General features: G+C 49.2%; 2 protein-coding genes across 2 annotated transcripts, besides 9 other annotated features; one reads left to right on the top strand and one right to left on the bottom strand.

Annotated features, from left to right (window-relative positions):
* Positions 4,476-4,595: an enhancer, noted in NCBI's record as "active region_21034". NCBI's record gives its function as "activates an Ori minimal core promoter by ATAC-STARR-seq in GM12878 lymphoblastoid cells {active_cell/tissue: GM12878}" and the evidence as "EXISTENCE:reporter gene assay evidence [ECO:0000049][PMID:35858748]".
* Positions 5,138-8,292, bottom strand: FAM43A (family with sequence similarity 43 member A). Its single transcript, NM_153690.5, has one exon. It carries the CDS (start codon positions 7,346-7,348, stop codon positions 6,077-6,079), a length of 1,272 nt encoding a protein of 423 aa, NP_710157.2. The 5' UTR covers positions 7,349-8,292; the 3' UTR covers positions 5,138-6,076.
* Positions 6,143-6,442: a silencer, noted in NCBI's record as "silent region_15028". NCBI's record gives its function as "represses an Ori minimal core promoter by ATAC-STARR-seq in GM12878 lymphoblastoid cells {active_cell/tissue: GM12878}" and the evidence as "EXISTENCE:reporter gene assay evidence [ECO:0000049][PMID:35858748]".
* Positions 6,442-6,945: an enhancer, noted in NCBI's record as "H3K27ac-H3K4me1 hESC enhancer chr3:194407959-194408462 (GRCh37/hg19 assembly coordinates)". NCBI's record gives its function as "activates a minimal SCP1, AML or CMV promoter by ChIP-STARR-seq in naive H9 embryonic stem cells {active_cell/tissue: H9 hESC(naive)}" and the evidence as "EXISTENCE:reporter gene assay evidence [ECO:0000049][PMID:30033119]".
* Positions 6,946-7,451: an enhancer, noted in NCBI's record as "H3K27ac-H3K4me1 hESC enhancer chr3:194407453-194407958 (GRCh37/hg19 assembly coordinates)". NCBI's record gives its function as "activates a minimal SCP1, AML or CMV promoter by ChIP-STARR-seq in naive H9 embryonic stem cells {active_cell/tissue: H9 hESC(naive)}" and the evidence as "EXISTENCE:reporter gene assay evidence [ECO:0000049][PMID:30033119]".
* Positions 6,946-7,462: a biological region, named in NCBI's record as "H3K27ac-H3K4me1 hESC enhancer GRCh37_chr3:194407453-194407958".
* Positions 7,266-20,511, top strand: LOC124909474 (uncharacterized). The gene is made up of 3 exons (XM_047449428.1): positions 7,266-8,315; positions 8,757-8,837; positions 18,339-20,511. Exons 1-3 carry the CDS (start codon positions 7,922-7,924, stop codon positions 18,530-18,532), a joined length of 669 nt encoding a protein of 222 aa, XP_047305384.1. The 5' UTR covers positions 7,266-7,921; the 3' UTR covers positions 18,533-20,511.
* Positions 7,273-7,462: a silencer, noted in NCBI's record as "silent region_15027". NCBI's record gives its function as "represses an Ori minimal core promoter by ATAC-STARR-seq in GM12878 lymphoblastoid cells {active_cell/tissue: GM12878}" and the evidence as "EXISTENCE:reporter gene assay evidence [ECO:0000049][PMID:35858748]".
* Positions 8,203-8,562: an enhancer, noted in NCBI's record as "active region_21033". NCBI's record gives its function as "activates an Ori minimal core promoter by ATAC-STARR-seq in GM12878 lymphoblastoid cells {active_cell/tissue: GM12878}" and the evidence as "EXISTENCE:reporter gene assay evidence [ECO:0000049][PMID:35858748]".
* Positions 11,248-11,297: an enhancer, noted in NCBI's record as "active region_21032". NCBI's record gives its function as "activates an Ori minimal core promoter by ATAC-STARR-seq in GM12878 lymphoblastoid cells {active_cell/tissue: GM12878}" and the evidence as "EXISTENCE:reporter gene assay evidence [ECO:0000049][PMID:35858748]".
* Positions 18,479-19,678: an enhancer, noted in NCBI's record as "P300/CBP strongly-dependent group 1 enhancer chr3:194395226-194396425 (GRCh37/hg19 assembly coordinates)". NCBI's record gives its function as "activates an origin of replication core promoter dependent on BRD2, BRD4, P300/CBP, MED14 and CDK7 cofactors, with strong dependence on P300/CBP, by STARR-seq in HCT116 cells {active_cell/tissue: HCT116}" and the evidence as "EXISTENCE:reporter gene assay evidence [ECO:0000049][PMID:35650434]".
* Positions 20,512-21,702: the final 1,191 nt, after the last annotated feature.

The raw sequence follows: 21,702 nt of genomic DNA, 5'->3' as shown, positions 1-21,702 counted from the left end.
CAGGAAGACAGACCCCCGGCCTCTTTACCTCCAGCGTCATGCATCTAGTACATATTCATTCACACTTGGTCTGGGGAGTAGGGGGTGGGGGGGGGGTTGCTGAACAATGTCAGAAATAGTTCTCATCAAGCAGCTACCATGTATGAAATGTGGGAGTACAAATAAGGGGGAAAGTAAGGGGAAATCCAAATGCCAGTTTCTGCCATCCCAAAGGGAACAATTTATTTATATGCCAGAAAAACTGGAGGCCTAGGCTGGGTGCAGTGGCTCACGCCTGTAATCCTAGTACTTTAGGAGGCCAAGGCCGGCGGGTCGCTTGGGGTCAGGAGTTCGAGACCAGCCTGGCCAACATAGCGAAACCTCGCCTCTACTAAAAATTTAAAAACATAGCTGGGCGTGGTGGTGTACGCCTCTAATCCCAGCTACTTGGAGGCTGACGCAGGAGAATCACTTGAACCCCAGAGGCAGAGGCTGCAGTGAGTGAAGATCATACCACTGCACTCTAGCCTGGGTGACAGAGAAAGACTCTGTCTCAAAAAAATAAAATAAAATAACTGGAGGCCTATTAAAAGCGCATCAGTCTAGGAGTTTGGACCCGTGGGTCTTGGTCCCTTAGCATGCCCTGGAGTTGCAGGATTGGTGCTGGCTGATGCCTCTGTGCTTGGTTTGCTTTTCCTTTAAAGCCTGGGCTATCTTTTCTTTCAGGCAATATAAGATATCAGCTAGGTTTGTGGAAAGGAGAAATTCAGATGGGGAGCTGTGCCATAGGGGAATGAGGTGTGAACTGGAGAAGGAGGAAGGGGTAGAGATGAAGAGGAGGGGAGAAGAGGAGGCCTTCAGAAATGTCACTCCCCATGGAGGGTTAGAAACAAGGTCCTTTTCTGGTACCACTGAGCAGCTCAAGAAAGAGGAAGGAAGGAGTGCCAAGTTCCAGGGCCATCTTCTCACCATTCAAACCACCAAGACGATGGTTAGTCAAGGCGCTCAAACTGGGTCACAAGAGCTTTAGAGCAAGCAGTGGGGGTTTGGTCTAGGGGACACTGGGCCTACGAACAGGGGTGAGCCAGAAGGAACAGAAACGGCCCCGGCTACTGGTCAAGCCAGATCCAGGTGTGGCCGCTGTAGTTTGGATATTTGTTCCCCCAAATCTCTTCTTGAAATTTGATCCCAGTGTTGGAGGTGGGGCCTAATGGGAGGTATTTGGGTCATGGAGGTGGATCCCTTATGAATAGGTTAATGCTCTCCCTGTGGGGAGACGGAGGCAATGAGTGATTTCTCTCTCACTCGAGAGCAGGTTGTCCAAAAGAGCCTGGCACTGCCCTTCTCCCTATCTCTTGCTTCCTTCCTCTTGCCATTTGATTCCTGCTCCAGTTCACCTCCCGCCATGAGTGCAAGCAGCCTGAGGCCTCACCAGAGCAGAAGCTGGCACCACACTTCTTGTACAGCCTGCAGAACCTTGAGCCAAATAAACCTCTTTCCTTTATAAATTACCCAGCCTTGCCAGGCATGGTGGCTCATGCCTGTAATCCCAGCACTTCGGGAGGCCAAGGCGGGTGGATCACTTGAGGTCAGGAGCTCAAGACCAGCCTGACCAACATGGTGAAACCCTGTTTCTACTAAAAAAAAAAAAAAGCACAAAATTAGCCGGGTGAGGTGGAGGGCACCTATATTCCCAGCTACTCGGGAGGCTGAGGCAGGAGAATCGCTTGAACCCGGGAGATGGAGGTTGTGGTGAGCCAAGGTCATGCTATTGCACTCTAGCCTGGGCAACAAGAGTGAAACTCTGTCTCAAAATAAATAAATCAATAAATATAAATAAATTACCCAGCCTCAGGTATTCTTTATAGCAACACGAAACGGACTAAGACAGTGGACATGTGCAACAAGCCTGGAGCAGAGAGTGCAGAGCGCCCTGGGCCTAGCACCCTCCTGGCTGCCTGGAGCCCTGAGTAGTTCCCCATGTGTCAGTCATGGCTCCTACCCCAGCAGTCCGTGCACATTTCTAGCTCTGTCATGCATCACTTAGCAGCAGATGCTGGGACTACTGATGCATACCACACAGAGGAAAGAGTTCTGCTTATTAAATTACTAAATCCTGTTTAAAAAGACGGCAACTTGCTCCTAATAGAATTTCTATGTTTCTCGTGATCCTTGGCAACTACAATGAGATTTTTAAATCTCCAGTATGGTGCCAGGGGTAGATTCTTCCAACCAGTTCTCTCTCTACTCACAAGCAGAACCCTCAAAAACAGCTCTGTCCCCTGGGAGGGAATTGTGCTTTCTTAGTATAACAGAGCCTTTCTAATTTGGTTAAAATCTGTTCTGCTGACTGTGGGGCAGTGAGAGGTGTTTCTTTAGGGAAACCATGTGTGTCCACACACGTGTGTGTGGAGGGGGTTCTCTGAAGCTGTCATAGTTGGGAGGGTATGAAATACTATTGTTTATTTTATGCCATTTTATTCCTCCCACCTTCCTGCTTACATATGCGACAAATGGTAGAAGTGAACATGGGATGTTTGTGCTGTGAGGAGTCGATGAATGCCTCCTCCCAGACTCACGCTGCCACCCCTGGAGGACCGCGTGCCGCCGGGAGTCACCCTGTTTTTCATGCAGTCGATGCTGCATTGTTGAACACGGAGGATTACCTAGGCTGGGAAAGAACGTGGAAAGTGTCTCAGTGCATTTAAAGTACCATCAGGTTAAGTCATGGAGAAACATGAGCCTCACTTTGCAGGAAAGAAAAGCTAAATTTGATGAGTAAACCAGACTTCAGGTGTTTTCTGGAAGGTGTATTTTATCTAATGACTTAGCTTTGCTTTTGTCGCTCCATTCTTTTCCCTCTGAGCTCCAGGAGCAAAGTAGTTTTAGGGTCTTTCTTTTATTTTCATTCAAAACATCTCTTCTTACTCTAGTGATATCATCCCTGGAAGACTGAGAAGTCAGAAGAGGTGAATCACGTGTCACCTTCACATCTCTTCTAGAATTACATCAGTCAGAGCTCTGAGGTGCAGTGGGGATCGATGCCAAAAAGCAGAGGGGAGGAAGGAGAGATGGGGAGGGCACAGACGGAGGAGGAAGGGAGCTGGCTCTTTCCAGCCTGCTTATTTTCTTCTTCCTCCTCCTCAACCTTCAAGCCCCCCTTCCTATTTATAAATCACATGAGAGGAAATATCAGACTTTAAAGAGATGGCTGCTTTATATTTATTGATGGTGTTGGTTTCAACACTATTTGCCTGAACTTTTGGACCAACCACCACATGCCTGTCAGTCACAGATGAAAGCCAACATTGGCATTCTCACAGGACACTTAAACTAGATAAGAATGAAGACACACAGACCCTGCCCTGTCTCCCAAGTATTAGCCATATTATCTTCACTCTGTCTCATCTCTTCATCAGTTTCAAACAGCAGAGGAACTTGGCTATGCATGGGAATAATTTCAAATGTGAAATCTAGTCACGCAGGCTAGTGATGGCCCACACAGCCGTCTGCTTATCAGGTGAGCACACTGGTGTGGAAGGGCTGGGATGGGTGGCTGGGCTGAGACTGGACTTTCCTGACCTCTCTCTAGCTGGGGTTTTTAATGTCATTCAATGATGTGTATCTGAGGTATTCAGGGAGAGGGATCGGGACGCACAACCAAGCCAAAATATAATAGATTCAAAGGCCTGGACGTCCTAAGGCCCTTAAGACTGAATTTTTTTTAAATGTTTTCCACTCAGCTGGGTACAGTGGCTCACGCCTGTAATGCCAGCACTTTGGTAGGCTAAGGTGGGCAGATCACCTGAGGTCGGGAGTTTGAAACCAGCCTGACCAACATGGAGAAACCCCATCTCTACTAAAAATACAAAATTAGCCCGGCGTGGTGGCGCATGCCTGTAATCCCAGCTACTTGGGAGGCTGAGGCAGGAGAATCGCTTGAACCCGGGAGGTGGAGGTTGCGGTGAGCTGAGATTGCACCATTGCACTCCAGCCTGGGTGACAAGAGTGAAACTCCGTCTCAAAAAAAAAAAAAAAATATATATATATATACACACACACACACACACACACACACACACACATATTTTCCACTCGCCCCCTTTGCTTTTCTTTTTTAAAGATAGTTCTATGCCTGAACCATTCCTGTTAATTAGGAAGAAAATCTTTCACCCCTCTTTCCTCTATGGTTCCAGTGAATTCCAGACTCCTTAGGATTTCTGGGTCTAGCTGCTCAGAACATATTTATGATGAAAACAAAGCAAAGTGGCCTCAGGACACCAGGGAAGGCCAGGAGTGAGATCCATTTCTGCAACACAGGAAGAGAGGCCTCAAGGGGCAAAAGGAAAATATAATTTGCAGAAGGCACAGTTTTGGCAGCATCTTATTACAACTTCCAGCTGATCGGGTGTAGCCAAACTAGAGACATCTGTTTGGAGTTTACAACAGAAACAAACACACAGAAAGCATGAAAGCGCTGAAACATGCACACCCATACCGCGCTCTAACAGCTCCTCTCCCCCTCGACCTTCGCGCCATCCCCCAACTGGGTCACACTGGGTTGTAGAAGGGAAGGAAATGGGCTCTGCAGCCTGCCCAGCCACCCACCCACCTGCACCGTGACTCACTCACACCAGGATCGGAACTTGTCAACTTTTCTCTCCTTGGTTTTCCTCCCAGGAAAAACAGAGATGGCCCCACTCCTCAGAGAACTCCTCTTTGGGTTTCTAGTTCATCTTTAAAGCTCCCTGAGCTGTTTGTAAAGGAAAAGATAAGGTAGTCTCCTTACGCTTGATTATTAGCATGGCCCACAGAAGGAGGTAGTAAAATCTCAGCAGATCTGGAAGTCACTCCTCCATAAATAACCTCACAGGTCTGGGAGTGCGATATGGAACTCACCGTGGCCTCTCCAAAAGACCAGAAAAAGATCACACAACTTAATTACTGAAAAATACAGGATAATACAAGAAAAGGCTGGTCCCAGACACAGCACCCAGAGTTGTGGAGGTCCAGGAAGGCCCCAGATGGCGCATAAAGTGGACCTTCCTTCCCTAATTCTCTCCAAGCACAGGAAAGGCCAAAGACTGTCTTATGACACCATCCCAGGGTCAGACACAGCCTCTCCCACCCCAACGCAGCAGTTCCAGACGCTCACCTGTTCTGTTAAATTTTCCTCTTTATTCTCTCCCCACTGGCGTGCAAACAGAACCAGAACAGTGCTACTTTTAAAAAATAACAAAATGTTTTATACACATTTCTGTATATACAACTGAACAACATTTTACATGTTTCTTTTGCACAGCAAAAGATATAAACATTCAGCTCTGAGAACACAGTTATGTACAGAAAAAAGTCAAAAATACTTCACAACAGTGCAAAAATATTTTACACAGTATCATGGAGTGAGATCTTTTGAGCAAGAGGAAGGGTGTGTGTGTTTCTAAAGGAAAACTCCTTTTTAAGATATTGGATGTCTTTAACTGTAAACAAAACGCGACTCTCTTTCATCTCCCCCCACCCCCCAAACAGTTATTTGAAGAATTTGGCAACATTTCAGGGGTCTGAGTCTGAGGTAAACAGCCAGAATTCTTGCACCAAAAAGAACCAAGGGCTAAAGGGTTGCATTAAAGCCTCAAACACCTTGAGAGCAAATTTTTTTTTTTTTTTAATGAGATGTCAGTGACAGCGCAGGGCCGCTCCCAGGGGGTGGGAGGAGGAAGTGAACCCCTCCTCCTCAGGCCCCAGCTGCCCCACAAACAGGAAACTGGCCAGGCACCTACGGCCTGAGACTAGGAACTTCAGCCAACCTTCCCTCACCCGCATCCCAGAGGGGTGCCTCTCTCTCCCTCCTGGCGGGGTTTTCCCCTCTCAAATCTCCCCGCATCCCCACGCGCAACAGAGCCAAAAGTGCTGGGGCGGGAGCGGGGGCCGGGAGGTAGGGGAAAGCGGTCGGGGGAACGCTGGACCTGGGCTCCAAGTGTAGGTCTGGGCCCCAAATGCCCCATTTCCCCCTTCCTGGGGGCGGGCAAGGGACAGGGAGGTTGTCGGGACCACGGATGGGTAGCCACGGTGGAGCGCCGGCGACGCGCGGAGGAGCTCAGCCCGAGTGGGGCTCGTCTGCACTGGCGCCGTCGGCCTGGCGGGACGAGTCCCCGGCGGTGGCGGAGGTGGCGTCAGGGCCCCCGCCCTCGATGGAGCTCTCGCTGCCCGTGCTGTCGCCTGACAGCAGGCGCGTCACCCGCAAGTCGGCCTGCAGGGTGCGCACGTCGTTGCCGAAGCTGAGCTCGCCCAGGTCGCTAATAAGTTGCGACAGCTCAGCCTTCATGTCGGAGGCGCTGCCCAGCAGCAGAGGCGGCGGCCCGGCCCCCGGGCCCAGGGAGCCCCCGCCGCCTCCTAGCGCCTCCCCACGGCCATTCTCCAGAGTATCCAACAAGTCCCCGCACTCAAAGTGCATGGCGACCACTAGCGCACGCTGCGCCTCGGCCTCCTCCTCTGCTGGATCTCCCTCTGCCGCACGGTTCTCCTCCTCCTCCGGGCAGCCCTCGGGTTGCTCCTCTTCCTCTTCCTCCTGCAGCTCCTGCTCCAGCTGTTCGCCGAGCAGGTCCTCGGTGATGGAGCCAAGCTTGGGCGCGCTGCGGCTGCGCTCCACCGGCGGTTTATAGCAGCAGGGTCCGTGTAGGAGCAGCTTGCGCAGCGGCACTAGCGGGATGGTGTGTGCGCCCACCAGCTCCTGCTGCTGGTGACGCGCGTCGTCCCGCCGCTTGAGGCGTTTAAATTCCGCCAGCGCGTTGGCCGACGTCTGGTAGAGCAGCAGGGCCATGGCCTGCGCCTTTTCGGGCTTGGACACCAGCACGGCGTGGCAGCGCAGCATCACGGCCTTGTGCTTCAGCTCGTGCCGGTACACCCAGGCGAAGACCTTGGGCAGCCGCGCGTCGGCCACGCAGTAGGTGACGCGGTGCAGCAGGTAGAGGTGGCCCGGGCGGCGCAGCGCGCGCTCCTCGGCGTGCACCATGCGGATACCCTGCGCACTCACCGTCAGCTTCATCTTGGTGCCCTGACGGCCCGCCTCGCTCTTGCTCCAGATCTTGCCCACAGCAAGGTCGGTGCAGCCGTCGCCGCGCGCCTGGATGGTGGTGGCATTGCCCAGGTAGAGCACGGTGTAAGTTGGGTCCTCGCTAGTGATGTGCAGCTTCTTGCGCTTGGAGCGGAACATGCTGCCCACCCGGCTAAGCGCGCCTTCGGGGCACGCCCGCGCCAGCGAGCTGAGCGCCGAGTAGTGCAGGCTCACAGCGTAGCCCTTGGGCTTGGACGCCTGCCGCGGCGGCGCCTCGGCCAGCAGCTCGAACTTGTGCTTCTTCCACGGCAGCATCTCCGGAGGGCGCCCCGGCGCAGCTGGGCGGCGGCGGCGGCGGAGCGCCGGGTGCGAGGCCCGCTGAGCCACCGGCCCCTGCCAGGCTCGGCCCGGGCAAGATCGAAGAATAAAACTACTGGGAGCGGCCCTGTGGTAGGGAGTTGGGGGGAGGGGAGCAGAGAGAGTGCTTAGGAACCCCGCAGGAGGTGCGGGTAAATTCTCTAAAAAAGAAAATATTCAGCTTCGAGTGTGCAAAAAAGGTTGGTGCGGGGGAGACACGCGCGCACACAGAATTACCCCAGCCTGGGCAAGGGCGAGAGCAAAGAGTCTCAGGCAAGCAACAAAATGCAAGGGAGAAAGAACGAGCGTAGAGTGGAAAATGTCAGGAAAAAAGCTAGAAGCGCGCGTGCAAATAAAGAGAGCCCCAGCAACAGCACCCGGGATGGTGCAAGAATATGCAGGAACTCCTCGGCGAACGTGAGGTGGGTCCCCTAACACACACAACCCTCAGGACTGGGGCCAAAACCCGCGGAAACTCTACAGCGAGTGTGCCTAGGGGCCGGTGCTCCCCACCTCCGAGGGGTGCTGGAGATGGAAAGCCCCCCGTTTGGGCTGGTCTCAAGTCAGCAGCTCGCCCAAAGTGCGGTCGGATGCTGGGTCCGGCTGGCCGCGGCGGGCCCCGCGCAGCAGTCCCGCGGGGACTCACTGCATCTTCGCTCCGCCGGACGCCGGGGACTCGCGCTCGGCCCGCTCAGTGTCCGGGCTGGCCTGGCCGAGACGGCGCTGGGCTCCGAGAACAGGGGACGGGCATGGCCGGGTCCGGGAACCGCCGCTACCTCATTTCTTCCCTCCGAGGCGGTGTCCAGCTCCGCTCCCGGGCTCTCCACGGTCTGCTGCCCGCCTTTGCAGTGCGCCCTCTCCGGTGCTGCGAGCGGCGTCCGGCTCGCCTGCCTCACATCCTTGCCGTCCGGGAGGAAGATCTCGGGTAAATATAGGCCGGCGCGAACCATTCGCCGCGCGGGGACAGGGGAGGAGCAGAGAAGAGGATCTGTTTTGGGCTCCGACTCCGGGCGGATTCCTGGTTTCTTAAAGGGACCGCGTGACAGCCATTGGTCGAGGGAGCGGGGAGACCGGTCCAATCCTCCAATTACATCCCAAATTTACCAGCATCTCTTTTGTCTATGGAAATCACTGGGACCTGGGGTTACCCCGCAGCAAAAAGATTTGAATCCTGACACTCCACCCCCCAGGCTGAATTGCCACTCACTGAATACATGTATGTCTAGATCGAAACTTCTGAGGGAGGTGGCAGAAGATGAGATTACAGATTATAATTTCCTGTACAAAAAGTTTGGGAAAATAGTGGTTTCTTCCTTGTGTGACGGCTTTCTGAGAATGACTGGGTGCTGTTTAATATTATTTTCAGAATTGTATTCCATTAAAGAAAAGAGAGAGGCACAGAAAACACCAAGGCTTATCTCTCACTATCTTGAGCTCGTATTCACAGGTAAGCAGCAGACAGTGTAAAGTGAGGTGAGTGGTAACATGATTGGGGTGACTACTGTAGAATACCGTCAATGAATAAGGCTTTTCCCCGTCCGAACCCCGGCAAGACCCCCTCCTGCTGTCAGGCCTCAGGGTAGAGCAGTTTTCTGAGATACACACAATTTCTAATGCTCGTGTGTCGTTAGGACTTAGTTTACTTTGGCAAGCCGGTCATGCGGTTTCATTCTATCATTGACATATTTTGGATGAGAATTCCTAGTAAAAATTCAAATGACGTTTTTTATTTAAGTGACAAATAATGCCAGGCCACCCTCCAATGGGAGTGATAATTGCATCAGTATTGCTTTTATCATGTGCCAACTGGACAGTGTAGTTGTCTTCTGACCGGCTTGACCCTTAGCCAGTAACTCATTTCTGGGCCCTTGAAACAGCCTGCTTGCCTCTATGGTATGGTCAGTCAAAGCAAAAAGACGTATGGCTGGAGTGGGATCAATGTCCGAATGATCCTGCATCAAACTCCCAGCCTGGTCCTGGAGGAGGACAGTGATCCCTTCCCACCATCCCAGTCCCCTGGGGATCTTTGATGTCTCTGGCTTCCACGCCAGGTCTTCATGCCAGAGTCACTGCAACCATACCTGGAAATTCCCTTGGGATATTCCAACAAAATAAAACTGACCCCTGCCCACCCTCTACCTTTGCCAACTTTTAACCTTCCTTTGAAATCTAACTCAATTTTCTCAGAGTCGTTGATGCTGAGTTTCCATTTAAGTTACTTTGCTGAGTTTCCATTTAAGTTACTTTTCTGACTACCTTTTGGTGCCCGGCCCTGAGCTAGGAGCAGACGGGATTCCTGCCTCCTAGTCCAATGAAGGTTGTAAACTCTACCCAACTCTGGGTTTCCACTGGACTGTGGGTTCTCTGCAAGTACCCTGTATCCCCAATATGGTACAAATAGGCACTCAGTAACTAGAATTAATGAGCAAGATATGCATGTGGACAAGAAGACAGAGTGGGCTAAATGCTATGAGAAAGACTCAAAGCACTATGAGAAGCTGGAGGAAGAAAGCATTCATTGTGACTAGGAAAATCAGAAAAGGCTTCATGGAGGTGGTGACCTTTGAAAGATAAACAGAATTTATCCAAATAGGAAAAGACTGAAGGGCTTTATGGGTATAGAGGGTAGCAAAATTACAGAAGCATGAAAATGCATGCATAAGGCCAGGCGCGGTGGCTCACGCCTGTAATCCCAGCATTTTGGGAGGCTGAGGCGGGTGGATCACTTGAGGTCAGGAGTTCAAGACCAGCCTGGCCAACATGGCAAAACTCTATCTCTACTAAAAATACAAAAATTAGCTGGGCATGGTGGTGCACGCCTGTAATTCCAGCTACTTGGGAAGTTGAGGCAGGAGAATCCCTTGAACCCGGGAGGCGGAGGTTGCAGTAAGCCGAGATCGCGCCACTGCACTCCAGCCTGGATGACACAGTGAGACCGTCTCAAAAAAAAAGAAAGAAAGAAAGAAAGAAAATGCATACACATGTAGTAATTAAGATGGAGCTTGTAACAATCAAAGAATAAACCTTCCTGATTGTGTTTTTTGGCTCTCTTACACTCCAAGGGAAGGAATGGCCTCTTCATGGCTAACTGGCCCCACAGGGTCCTTCAACCAGAGCTATAATGCCTTACTCCTCAGCTGCACTGATGGGTTAATGGAGGGATACCAGACATGCTGTTGGAATGAGGTAGTTAGTACTATAATAAGCCATTTAAGGCAACATTAATTCCTTAAATTTCTAGGCTATCTTGTAGTGGCAATGAAGGAGATAGCACACGCTCTAAAGAACAAAAACTCTGGTAAAAACATATCAAATGAGGCTGTGTTCAGTGACCTTTAGTAGGTCCATAATCTTGAACTCCACAAAAGCAGACATCATGTTTAAGCAGTGATCATTTCCAAATCGCTCAAAGTTCCAAGGCTCAAGAGGGTTTGGGGAAGAGGAAGAGGGAGTAGTAGCAGGAGCTAAGGCTGGTCTCAGCCTCAGCGAGAGGCACCACTTTGCACTTCATGCAGTGGCATGGACCCCAGTGGCCCACAGAGGCAGGGAGGAGTCTACTGGTGGGCCGGGCTGTTCAGCAGCAGCCGGAGTGCCAGTCCCAGCGGCACAGGCCCACAGAGCTGCTCCTGTTGACGAGGCTATGTCACGCCTTGACCGCCTTCCTAATAAGCTTGTTTCCAACCTTGGGAGAACAGAAAGGTTCTAGGCCAGTGTGAACACCCTGGTGTGAGTCATGCCCTGGAGGAGAACCCGCGGTCCCCTTGTGGCCTGGACCTGTGCCAGCCTCTAGGGCCCGCCTCACCTTATGGAGAAGCTGACCACCCCACCTGAAGCACACATCACAATTAAGGCTGCGTTTCTTCAGCTGGGAGAGCTGGCAGCACCATGTGGGAGTCCACATCACAGATCTGAGACAGGGCAACTCCAGAACAGACTGTCAGCAAAGTGGAGCTGGGAAACAGGTTAGAAACTGCAGTGTACTTTTTTAATGACACTGCCCCCATCTACTGGTAGCAGGCAGAAATGCTGCTCGGTGGATGGTTTCTCGTCAAACCAGATAAGCTAGTGGTTGAAACTACACACAACCGGGTCGCAGTTGGAAGGAAATGCTGCCATCAGGAGTCCCAGCCCTAAACTTGACATCCAGGAGTAAGCCTTTCATCTCACAGAGGATTTGGACCAGCTTCCTCCCACCTTACGTCTTACATAATGCTCCTTCCTCTCGCCCCTCCTCCAACATCCTACTCAGTGGACATTGACTTCAGAGATGACACATGACGAATCTGGAATCTTCAATGTCATCTAGTAAATACTTGTGGAGAGTCTCCCATGAATGTCACATAGTTGCTGGGGATATAGCACTAAAGAGGACAGATAGAGAGGTCTTTGCCTGCATGGGATTTATAGCCTCTGGTGGAGGCAGGAGGGCAGACAGTAAACAAAAAACTAATGAAATAGCAGATAGTGAAAAGTCTCTGGAGAAAAGGAGGCAGTGCTAGGAGTGAGAGGTGGCTGGTTTAGACAGCATGGCCAGGGAAGGTGGCTCTGGGCAGAGACAGGAATGAGATGAACCTGCAAAGAGATGGGGGAGAGCATTGCAGCCTGTGCGGCCCAGTACGCAGTCACCAGCCACAGGCTGCTGCTGCCACTTGAACCATAGCTGGCCCAAATTTAGACGCACTACGAGTATGAACTACACACTGGATTTTCAGGACTTAGTAAAACAAAAAGAATGCAAAAAATCTTCATAATGTTATATTCATTATATATTGAATGATAGTATTTTGGCTATGTTGATTTAAATAAATTATTCAGATTAATTTTACCTATTTCTCTAGCCTGGTCAACATGGTGAAACCCCGTCTCTACTAAAAATACAAACATTAGCTAGGCATAGTGGTGCATGCCTATAATACCAGCTATTCGGGAGGCTGAGGCAGGAGAATCACTTGAACCTGGGAGGCAGAAGTTGCAGTGAGCCGAGATTGTGCCACTGCGCTCCTGCCTGGGCGACAGAGCGAGAGTCTGTCTCAAAAAACAACAACAACAACAAAAACTTACCTATTTCTTTTTGCTTCTTTAAGGTGGCTATCAGACACCTTGGTTTTAGCCCAGTGAGGCCCGTGTTGGGTTCTAACCTGCAGCGCTGTGAATTTGTGTTGATTTAGGCCACTACGTTCGTGGCAGTTTGTTCCAGCAGCAGTACACCTCCCATCCAGCCATCTTTTCCCTTATCCTGACTCTCTTCCCTCTCCCACTCTCCTCAACACATACGCTAAGTCCTCACTAGTTTCCCAAAGCCACTGGCTCCCCCAGAGCTCAGCAGAACTGACCGGGTGCTTCCCCCACAAAAACGAGGCAGTTAGAGCAACCTCCAGCCCCTGCCAACCTACAAAAAGCACGTCCACACCCAAGCCCACCTCCCTCCTCCAGGCTCCGAAGTCTCTCCTCCCTTCAACCTGCCCCTCTGAAAGCCACCTTCAATACTTACCAAACCACACCTCTGACCTTTTCTCTCTTCCCCTTTTAACCTTCAAAATGGCTTCCCATCAGCCACACGGTACACTCCCACTCCTCAGTATAACACATGAGAATGTTCAGGTCTGGCACCTGCCTATGTCTCCAACCTCATTCTTTTCTCCTGGACTCCTAATTTATGAACCAGCCACAGAGAATAGCCTATGCTTCTCCCCATGCTCATGAGAGTGGTTTTTCCCTTCCTGCCATGCCTTATGTGGCTCTATCTAACTGATATGACCTCCTCCTGCCATTTGTCCCGGCCAAGGCTTACTCATTCTTACAGAGCCATCTTGGATACCATTTTCTCCAGGTAAACCGCCTAGGCCTACTCATCGCCTCTCCACATGCCCTTGTGTGCATCCTTACCTCTGCACTTGCCCTGTTATAATATTGTCTTTTTTTGAGTCTTGCTGTGTTGCCCAGGCTGGAGTGCGTGATCTTGGCTCACTGCAACCTCTGCCTGCCAGGTTCAAGTGATTCTCCTGCCTCAGCCCCTTGAGTAGCTGGGATTACAGGCACCCACCACCATGCCCGGCTAATTTTTTTTTTTTTTTGAGATGGAGTCTCTGTTGCCCAGGCTGGAGTGCAACGGCACAATCTCGGCCGGCTGCAACCTCTGCCTCCTAGGTTCAAGTGATTCTCCTGCCTCAGCCTCCTGAGTAGCTGGGATTACAGGTGCGCAAAAGCGCGTCTGGCTAATTTTTGTATTTTTTAAGTAGAGACGAGGTTTCACCAAGGCCAGGCTGGTCTCGAACTCCTGACCTTGTGATCTGCCCACCTCGGCCTCCCAACATGCTGGGATTACAGGCGCGAGCCACCGTGCCTGGCCTATAGTATCGTCTTTAACTCTCTGTCTCCCCCAGTAGACTATGGGCTCCTTATGGCTGGTGACTGTATTTTATTCACTCTTTGTATCCCCAACTTCCAGCACAATGCCAGCCACCAAATTAATGTATGGCAAGTGTTTCTAGAACGAACATTAACCATGTGTTTATTTTCAAAGTCATGGGACTGTCATGAGCACAGACTGTCAGAACTGGAAGAGCGTTGTCTGGAAGGCCCTTCGAGATAATCTAGTCAACCTCCCCTGGCTTTACAAATGAGGACACTGAGGCCCTGACAGCGCAGGTGCATGGCCATACAGTAACTTAGTGGCCACACCAATATGAGGATCCATGTGGTCTGAATCTCAATCCAGGGCCCTTTCCTGTGGCTAAACGTAAAGCCAAAAGCTTCTAAACACATATATGTATGTAGAACCCACGTCCTTCGTTTGCTCCCCCTCTAGGAAGAGCTGCTTGGGGGCTCACAGGTTCATTTGATGATCTGAACAGGAGCAGAAAGCCAAACATACTTCTGTGACTTGACTGAGTGGCCACTCGCTGGGCCCCTTAATGAAAAGTGCACTTTGCTAATGGCTCTCACTGCCCCCAAAGACGTTAGAGTCAAGCATGACTGTCACAGGACTCCACCAGTGAGACGGGTCTCTGTTGTGGTCGACATCGCACTTGGGTCTCTGAGAGTCTGGTAGCCCATTTCCCATTGCAGGAGAAATAACTTGTAGTCAAACAGTGCCCAGACCAGGGCCCTCTTTAGGAAGGAAGTGGACTTCATGCTAAGCATGGAAGGAGGGGCAGATTGCTGTCAACAGAGGCAGGAGAGAGCGGTCCAGAGGAAGAAAATGGCCCATGCAGAAGGTAGTTAGTGTTGAACATCCAACAACTGGGCAAAAGGAGGGAATGCAAAAGCACTGAGCCCCTACCGCATGTCAGACACTGTGCTGAGTCAGATCCGTCCAAACATTTCATGCTCCTAAGAGTGTTGTCAGGTCTGTGCTAGTCTCTTCATTTTTCCGGGGGAAAGGACCACAGCTTGGAGGAGTTAAGAAATTTGCCCAAGATCTCCAAAGCCTGTGTTCTTTGTGTTTGGGTCAGGCCAGGGCCTGACTCCTGATGGCCCTGAATGGCAGGAGGAGGCGTCTCATAAGCTGTGGTGAGTCACTGGAGGTGCTAGAGCAGGGACATGCCACGATCAGAGCCAAGGCTCAGGTACACAAGATTGGCCAAGAAGGAATCCAGACCCCCGCCCTCCAGCCCTGACTCACCGAGGGTCCCGGAGCACGCTGCTGCCCTTCTCTGCCTATTGGGGAGCTGAGCAAATCCTCATTCATTTCTAAGATCACAAGAAAGCTGCAGGTATTTCCTGCAGCTGCCATAACAGATTACCATAAATGAGGTGGCTGAAAACAACAACAATGTATCCTCACAATTTTGGAGGTTGGGAGAAGGCAGCATCCTTCCTTGCATCTTACTGCCTTCTGATGGCTGCCTGTCATCCTTGGCGTTCCTTGTTTTTTAGACATATTGCTCCAGTCTCTGCCTCTGGCCTCTCCTTCTTTGTCTTCTGCATATGCAGCCAAATGTTTCTCTTTCTAAAACAGTAGTTACTGGATTAGGGCCCGTCTAATCCAGTATGAGTTCATCTTCACTTGATTACATCTGCAAACACCCTTTTCCAAACCTGGTACAGTGAGTGGCTCATGCCTGTAATCCCAATATTCAGGAGGCCCAGGCAGAAGGGTCATTTGAGCCCAGGAGGTTGAGACCAAGCCTGCACAACATAGTGAAACCTCATCTCAAAAAAAAAGACCTTTTTCCAAATAAAAGCACATCCACAAGTACTAGGGGTTAGGTCTCGCTCTGTTGCCCAGGCTGGAGTGCAGTGGCACTATCATAGCTCACCACAACCTCGACCTCCTGGGCTCAAGTAATCCTCCCACCTCAGCCTCCCAAAATGCTGGGATTACATACAGGCATGAGCCACCAGGCCTGATCATGTCTTTGTAAGGGACACCATTAACTCAAAACAGAAGCCATGTTTCCAACAAAGCGCGCTGAAAATAAATAAATAAATAAATATAAAAGACAAAAGATCAAAACAGAGCCCATGACAGGAAATTGCAGGAGTGAGAGAGAACCAACAGACAAGTCAGAGGTCTACGAACTCTGGAGGTCACCCTGTGACCAAAGCTCCCAGAAGTGTTCTCACCATGCCCCTTGCCTTGGAGCCTCTCCTTTCATGGGCTGCTTGCTTGGAACCTTGGACGAGGTTCGCACTTGGGTCTCTGAGAGTCTGGTAGCCCATTTCCCATTGCAGGAGAAATAACGTGTAGTCAAACAGTGCCCAGGCCAGGGCCCTCTTTAGGAAGGAAGCGGACTTCATGCTAAGCATGGAAGGATGGGCAGATTGCCGTAGACAGAGGCAGGAGAGAGCGGTCCAGAGGAAGAAAATGGTCCATGCAGAAGGTAGTTGTTCTGATGGACAACCTGCCATCAGGAGTCAGGCCCTCGCCTGACCCAAACACAAAGAACATAGGCTTTGGAGATCCAGGCAGAAATGCAAGGGCACTAGAAGGAAGCCAAGAGTGATGAAATCATGAGCCTTACAAACGAGCCTTCTCCTCAGTGCCACCAAAGGCAGGGACCAGTCAAGATGGGTTTGTCCCCTCTGAAGATGGAAGGAGGGGACATGTTACCCCTACATGATTAACTTTAAAGCAGAAACCATGGATCTTTCATTCAAACTGATTCTTTTTAACATTTCCATTTGTGTTAGTAGTATCTGTGACTAATGATGGCTGAATTTGCTAAATGTTGGTTCTCGGTACCCTCAACTATCTCATGACAATGAGGGCAAGATGTACTCTTTTTCTCATGTGACATGCTGAAGGCACCACCCTGCTTTTGCCAACCTAGGCACCATTTCTGAGACCATCACTGTTCCCTTGCGATTTCAAATACTGGGATGAGGCAAGGGATAGCATAAAAAGGAAGAGAACCTACCAGGGTCAGGAATCTGTTAAGTACCTTAGCAGTTCTTTATTCCAACACCCACTTTGAGGCTTGAACCTGACTTAGAACATCTGACACCTGATTATCTGGTTTTTGCTTGAATGCCTCTGGTGGCAGGGAGCTCACTACCTTACTAAGCTGTCCAATATGTCTTTGAGCCCCTCTGATTGTAAGAAGTTTCCAACAAATTGAACCTCAAATTATAACCCTGTGATTTCTACCCATTTGTTCTGGTTGTTCTTGCCTTGTGTCTTCTCAGAACAGTCTTCTCTCCTTTCCCTATGACAGTCCTCCACATCAATGGAAATGGTTCCCACATACCCCTGGAGCCTCCCTCCTTAGGCTAGTCTCATTTCCATCACCTTTTCCTCATACGACATAGTTGTGCGTTCCAGCACCATCCAGGTTTACATGCATATATATATTAGGATATTTACTATGGTTTACATGCATATATGTATTAGGATATTTACTATGGGGAATTAAGGAGATGGATCACTTTCAGAGACAAAACATAAAATCCTGGTGGTCAGAAGCCCTCTTAATGGAGTAAGGTCTACCTGGTGGTGTAGTTCATGGCTCCCTGACTTGAGCTCTTTAACCCTGGCTGAGTCTCTCTATTAGGCTGATCACCACTAAAGTGTAAGCTCTTCAGGGCAGGGAGTTCGTCCAGTGCTGAATCCTCAGAGTCCTGTGATGAATGAACCAATGAATGAATGAATGAATGAATGAATGAATGAATGAGTGAATGAATGAATGGATGAGTGAGTGAATGAATGAATGAGTGAATGAATGAATGGGAGAAACCTAGGACTTTCCATGTACAGATTTTAGAGTTGGTGATTATTAATTCTACTTCTAGCCTCCTTTATTTTACTTTATTTGCTTAACTTAACCCTATTGAGACTCAACTTCTACAGCTAAAAGTGCAGTAAAATAACAATACCCTTTTTCACTTGACTGTCAAGAGGGAAAAAGTAATTGCAAAGGCATCTCTGAATAAAAGACACTAGATATTCCATACATAACACGAGTTGAGAAAAAGTTCGTGGGTTCAAATACATAGGATCTTGTGGCCTGTGTCACCAAAGCAAGAGGTCTTTTACACATTTCCTTGCACAGGCAAGAAATCAATGTTTGATTGCAGGGACTCAAATTAATCATTATAATAGCCACCAATAAATGTCTGCTGACAGTAGGGTGACTATGGTTGACAATATTGTGTTGTATATTTCAAAATAACTAGAAGAGAGGATTTTGAATGTTCTTACCAGAAAGAAATGATAACTGAGGTGATGGATATGCTGAATACTCGGATTTGATTATTACACAATGTATACATGTATCAAAACCACCTCATACATACATACAATTATTATATGTCAATTTAAAAGATTTTTTAAAATCTGCTGAATTATGAAACTCGTGAGAATCCACCCATTTTCAATAGGGATAAACTGAGAATGGCAGTTAATCATAGGGAGTTTCCCTACTGATTCAATTACGCTCTACAGAGGCTGCCAGTGTCTATTTTCACAACTCTCAGTCTTATGCAAACTGTTTTAATGTCCTTGTAGAAGGAGGTGGTGTATCGTATGGGAAAGAAGGAGAGACCAGACTGCAAGCTCGCCTTGGAACAACTTTTCTGCCACCAACTCATTTTTGGCCAAAGTATGACAGGAAAAACAACAGAAACCAACCCACTCTTTCCTCTCCTTCCTCAGACAGATGTGGAGCCCAGAGGCACAACAGTGTGGACTTGGAAAGCTGAAAGCAACTCCAAAGTTTGTTGCTGGGTGTGGGTTTCAGAGCTTGTAACTACATTTGTTGAGACGCGGTAGAAATCAAGCATTATGCAACCCCATGAATAGGGAACACTCCCTGTGTCACTATTTAGAAGCTGGGTGCCAGGCTTCCAATCCCCAAATCAATGCAGCCTCCTCCAGGAGCCAGCTTTTCAGAGAATCCTGGCTTTAACGGAAGCGTTCAGCTACGTGGGGAATCGGGAGGATCTGGCCCATCTTCCAGTCACAAGCCTGGTGGGCGACAGTTTCCGCTGGCGTGAGAAAGCAGTGACAGGGGTTCGGCTAGGTATTGCTGTTCCTGAAGTGTGTGGGTGAAATGGTTTCTGCAGTTGGAGGGCAGGGACCTGGACTGATTCATCTTTGCAACCCCCTCACTTGGGCAGCAGCCAGCACCTTGCTCCACCCTCCGTCACCACCATCATCACTCCCCCACGATCTTACCTCCTTCCTTTTAATCTGGGTCCCATGATCTTGTCTCATCAACACCTTCAATTCCTTTCCTCCTTGTCCTTCTCACTGAACAGTTATCCAGCTGGGCTTTCACCGTCATTGCTTAGTTTTTGGGGAAAGAAAACGTGTTCAGCTGTGCCAGATGATACCCCCACAAATTACTAGGCAATCACCTTGCAGCATTATCTCATTTGTTACCTCTTCAGGGCAGGAATTGTTATTAGCCTCATTAACCAGATGAGAAGACTGAGACTCAGTTGTCTGTCATCGGTAGATTTTCGTAACGTCTTGGGAGAAATATTAGGATTATCTATCCTTTTCTTGTCAGCTAGGAGTAGTTGCTGCTAATTAAATCTTTATGACCTTTTGACTCCTCACCACTCCTGATTATCACTTTGGTTTATTTGGTTAAGTTTTTTTTTTTTTTTTTGGAGACGAAGTTTCGCTCTTGTTGCCCAGGCTGGAGTGCAGTGGTGCGATGTGGGTTCACTGCAACCTCTGTCTCCCGGGTTCAAACAATTCTCCTGCCTCACCCTCCCGAGTAGCTGGGATTACAGGTGCATGCCACCACACCGGGCTAATTTTTCTATTTTTAGCAGAGACGGGGTTTCATCATGTTGGCCAGGCTTGTCTCCAAACTCCTGACCTCAGGTGACCCACCCGCCTCAGCCTCTCAAAGTGCTGGGATTTCAGGCGTGAGCCACCACGCCTGGTCTTATTTGGTCAAGATTTTTTAAGCCCTTAGAAAAGTAACAGTGGAAAACCAAAGTGTTTATTTTCTCCAGAGGTGACAAAATCTGGAAAAAGAAACTAGATGAAGTCCCAAGTTCCTGGTTGAGCTCTAGGAATGAGATGGTGAGTTTCTTTATCTCACCTCCTAGTATTATTATTAAAATGTGAAATCTTACTTCATGAGTTAGTTTGACCTTTAACCACTTAGCTCTGGAGAGAATGCCGGGAGCTGTCTGCTAATTCTATTTCGTGGGTCTTCTTCATATCTTACTTCTGGAGATTATGTGTAGGATTTTAAAGATACACTGTTTCTAAATTGAGAAATGGGAGAAATGATGTTCTGATGCATTCCTTTGCTCATCTGTGAGCACTGCCTTCTCAAAGCGTTGCCAACTGCTTCACAGCTTGCCAGCAGTCCCTTGGGCATTTCCCAAAACTCACTTCAATTCAGTAAGAGGGGTAAGGTGCAGCACACAGAAACCCTGGCAGGGAATTCAGAATGGGTGGGAGTCTGGACCCAGTTTCGCCTGATGCTAACTTGCTATGACTGACCTTTAGCCAGTCCACTTCTGTGTCTTCATTTGCACCAGGAAAGAGTGGACTACGCTTGCTACTCAAAGTGTGACCCAAGGACCAGTACTATGGGTATCACCTGGAAGCTTGTTAGAGCCACAGGCCTCACCCCAGAGCTTATGAATCAGAATCTGCATGTTAACAAGATTCCCAGGGGATTTATATGCACATTAAAGTGTGAAAAGCCCTAGGTTAAACAGATTCTTGATCCTATTTATTTCTTTTTGGCTGTTGTTTTAATTGACAACTAAAAATTGTTTATTACTTACGTTGTACCGCATAATGTTTTGATATATGTGTACATTGTGGAATGGCTAAATCAAGCTATGCTAGGTAATATATGCATTACCTCGATCCTATGATTTAAAAATACATGTTTGGCCAGGCGCAGTGGCTCATACCTGTAATCCTAGCACTTTGGGAGGCCGAGGCGGGCGATCACCTGAGGTCAGGAGTTCGAGACCAGCCTGGCCAAAATAGTCAAACCCTGTCTCTACTAAAAATACAAAAATTAGCTGGGTGCGGTGGCACGTGTCTGTAATTCCCGCTACTCGGGAGGCTAAGGCAGGAGAATCACTTGAACCCGGGAAGCAGAGGTTGCAGTGAGCCGAGATCATGCCTTTGCACTCCACCTGGGGGACAGCGAGACTCTGTCTCAAAAGATAAAAATAAATAAATAATACATGTTAACAACCCTCATTCCCCACTCTCCCCAGGGGTGTACAGGCTAGTGACAAGACTTGGGTTTATTCCTGACACTGCACGCACTCAATCTACGACTTGCTCAAGCTGCTTCCTCTCTCCAAGCATCAAAACAAAGAGATGGTTCTCTGGATCAATGAGAATGTAGTTCACCAGCCACTCTAAGCTGACTTTCTATTATTCCCATTATAGGGAAATCAAACATTCAAGTGAGGAACAAAAGCCCAGGCCTCTAGGAGTGGAGCTGGCTCACTGTTTTCACTTTCATTTTAATTATTTTTAAAAAGGGTAATGAAAATATAATTAGAACTGTTTAAACATTTTTTTTTTCTTTGAAATAAAGCGTAAGTCACTTCCTGTTGGCTTTTCCTACAACCTTGCCAAGCTCTGGAAATACTATTCAGCCTCTCATTCCAAATTCACATCCAGGCGAAGACTTTTCTCCCCAGTTCGCAGCTGGGGTCGGCTAGATAAACAAAAAGTTAGTTGCTGTGCTGGACCTCGGAGAGACCACACCTCGGGACGCCAGCAGAAAACCAGCGCTGGGAAACGCCCCCGTCCCAGCGCCACCGAAACACTCTTCCTCCGAGTCTCCGCGTCCTCCTGACGGAAGCAGCGGAAGGCGGAGCTAGTGCCGCGAATAGGAACCGCCATGTTTCCGACGTGCTCTAGTTTCTCG

Source organism: Homo sapiens, chromosome 3 (assembly GCF_000001405.40).
Source record: "Homo sapiens chromosome 3, GRCh38.p14 Primary Assembly".
Taxonomy (NCBI): Eukaryota; Metazoa; Chordata; class Mammalia; order Primates; family Hominidae; genus Homo; species Homo sapiens.
Note: the sequence above shows the minus strand (reverse complement) of the source record. Positions and strands in the feature narration are given on the sequence as shown.

Excerpts from the sequence above, each read along its gene's own strand:
- FAM43A (NM_153690.5), bottom strand. The coding sequence starts at position 7,348 with ATGCTGCCGTGGAAGAAGCACAAGTTCGAGCTGCTGGCCGAGGCGCCG.
- LOC124909474 (XM_047449428.1), top strand. The coding sequence starts at position 7,922 with ATGGAAAGCCCCCCGTTTGGGCTGGTCTCAAGTCAGCAGCTCGCCCAA. Across the intron at positions 8,316-8,756 it reads GTCCGGGAGGAAGATCTCGG|AATTGTATTCCATTAAAGAA; the intron begins GTAAATATAGGC and ends TATTATTTTCAG. Across the intron at positions 8,838-18,338 it reads TCTTGAGCTCGTATTCACAG|AAGGAGGTGGTGTATCGTAT; the intron begins GTAAGCAGCAGA and ends ATGTCCTTGTAG.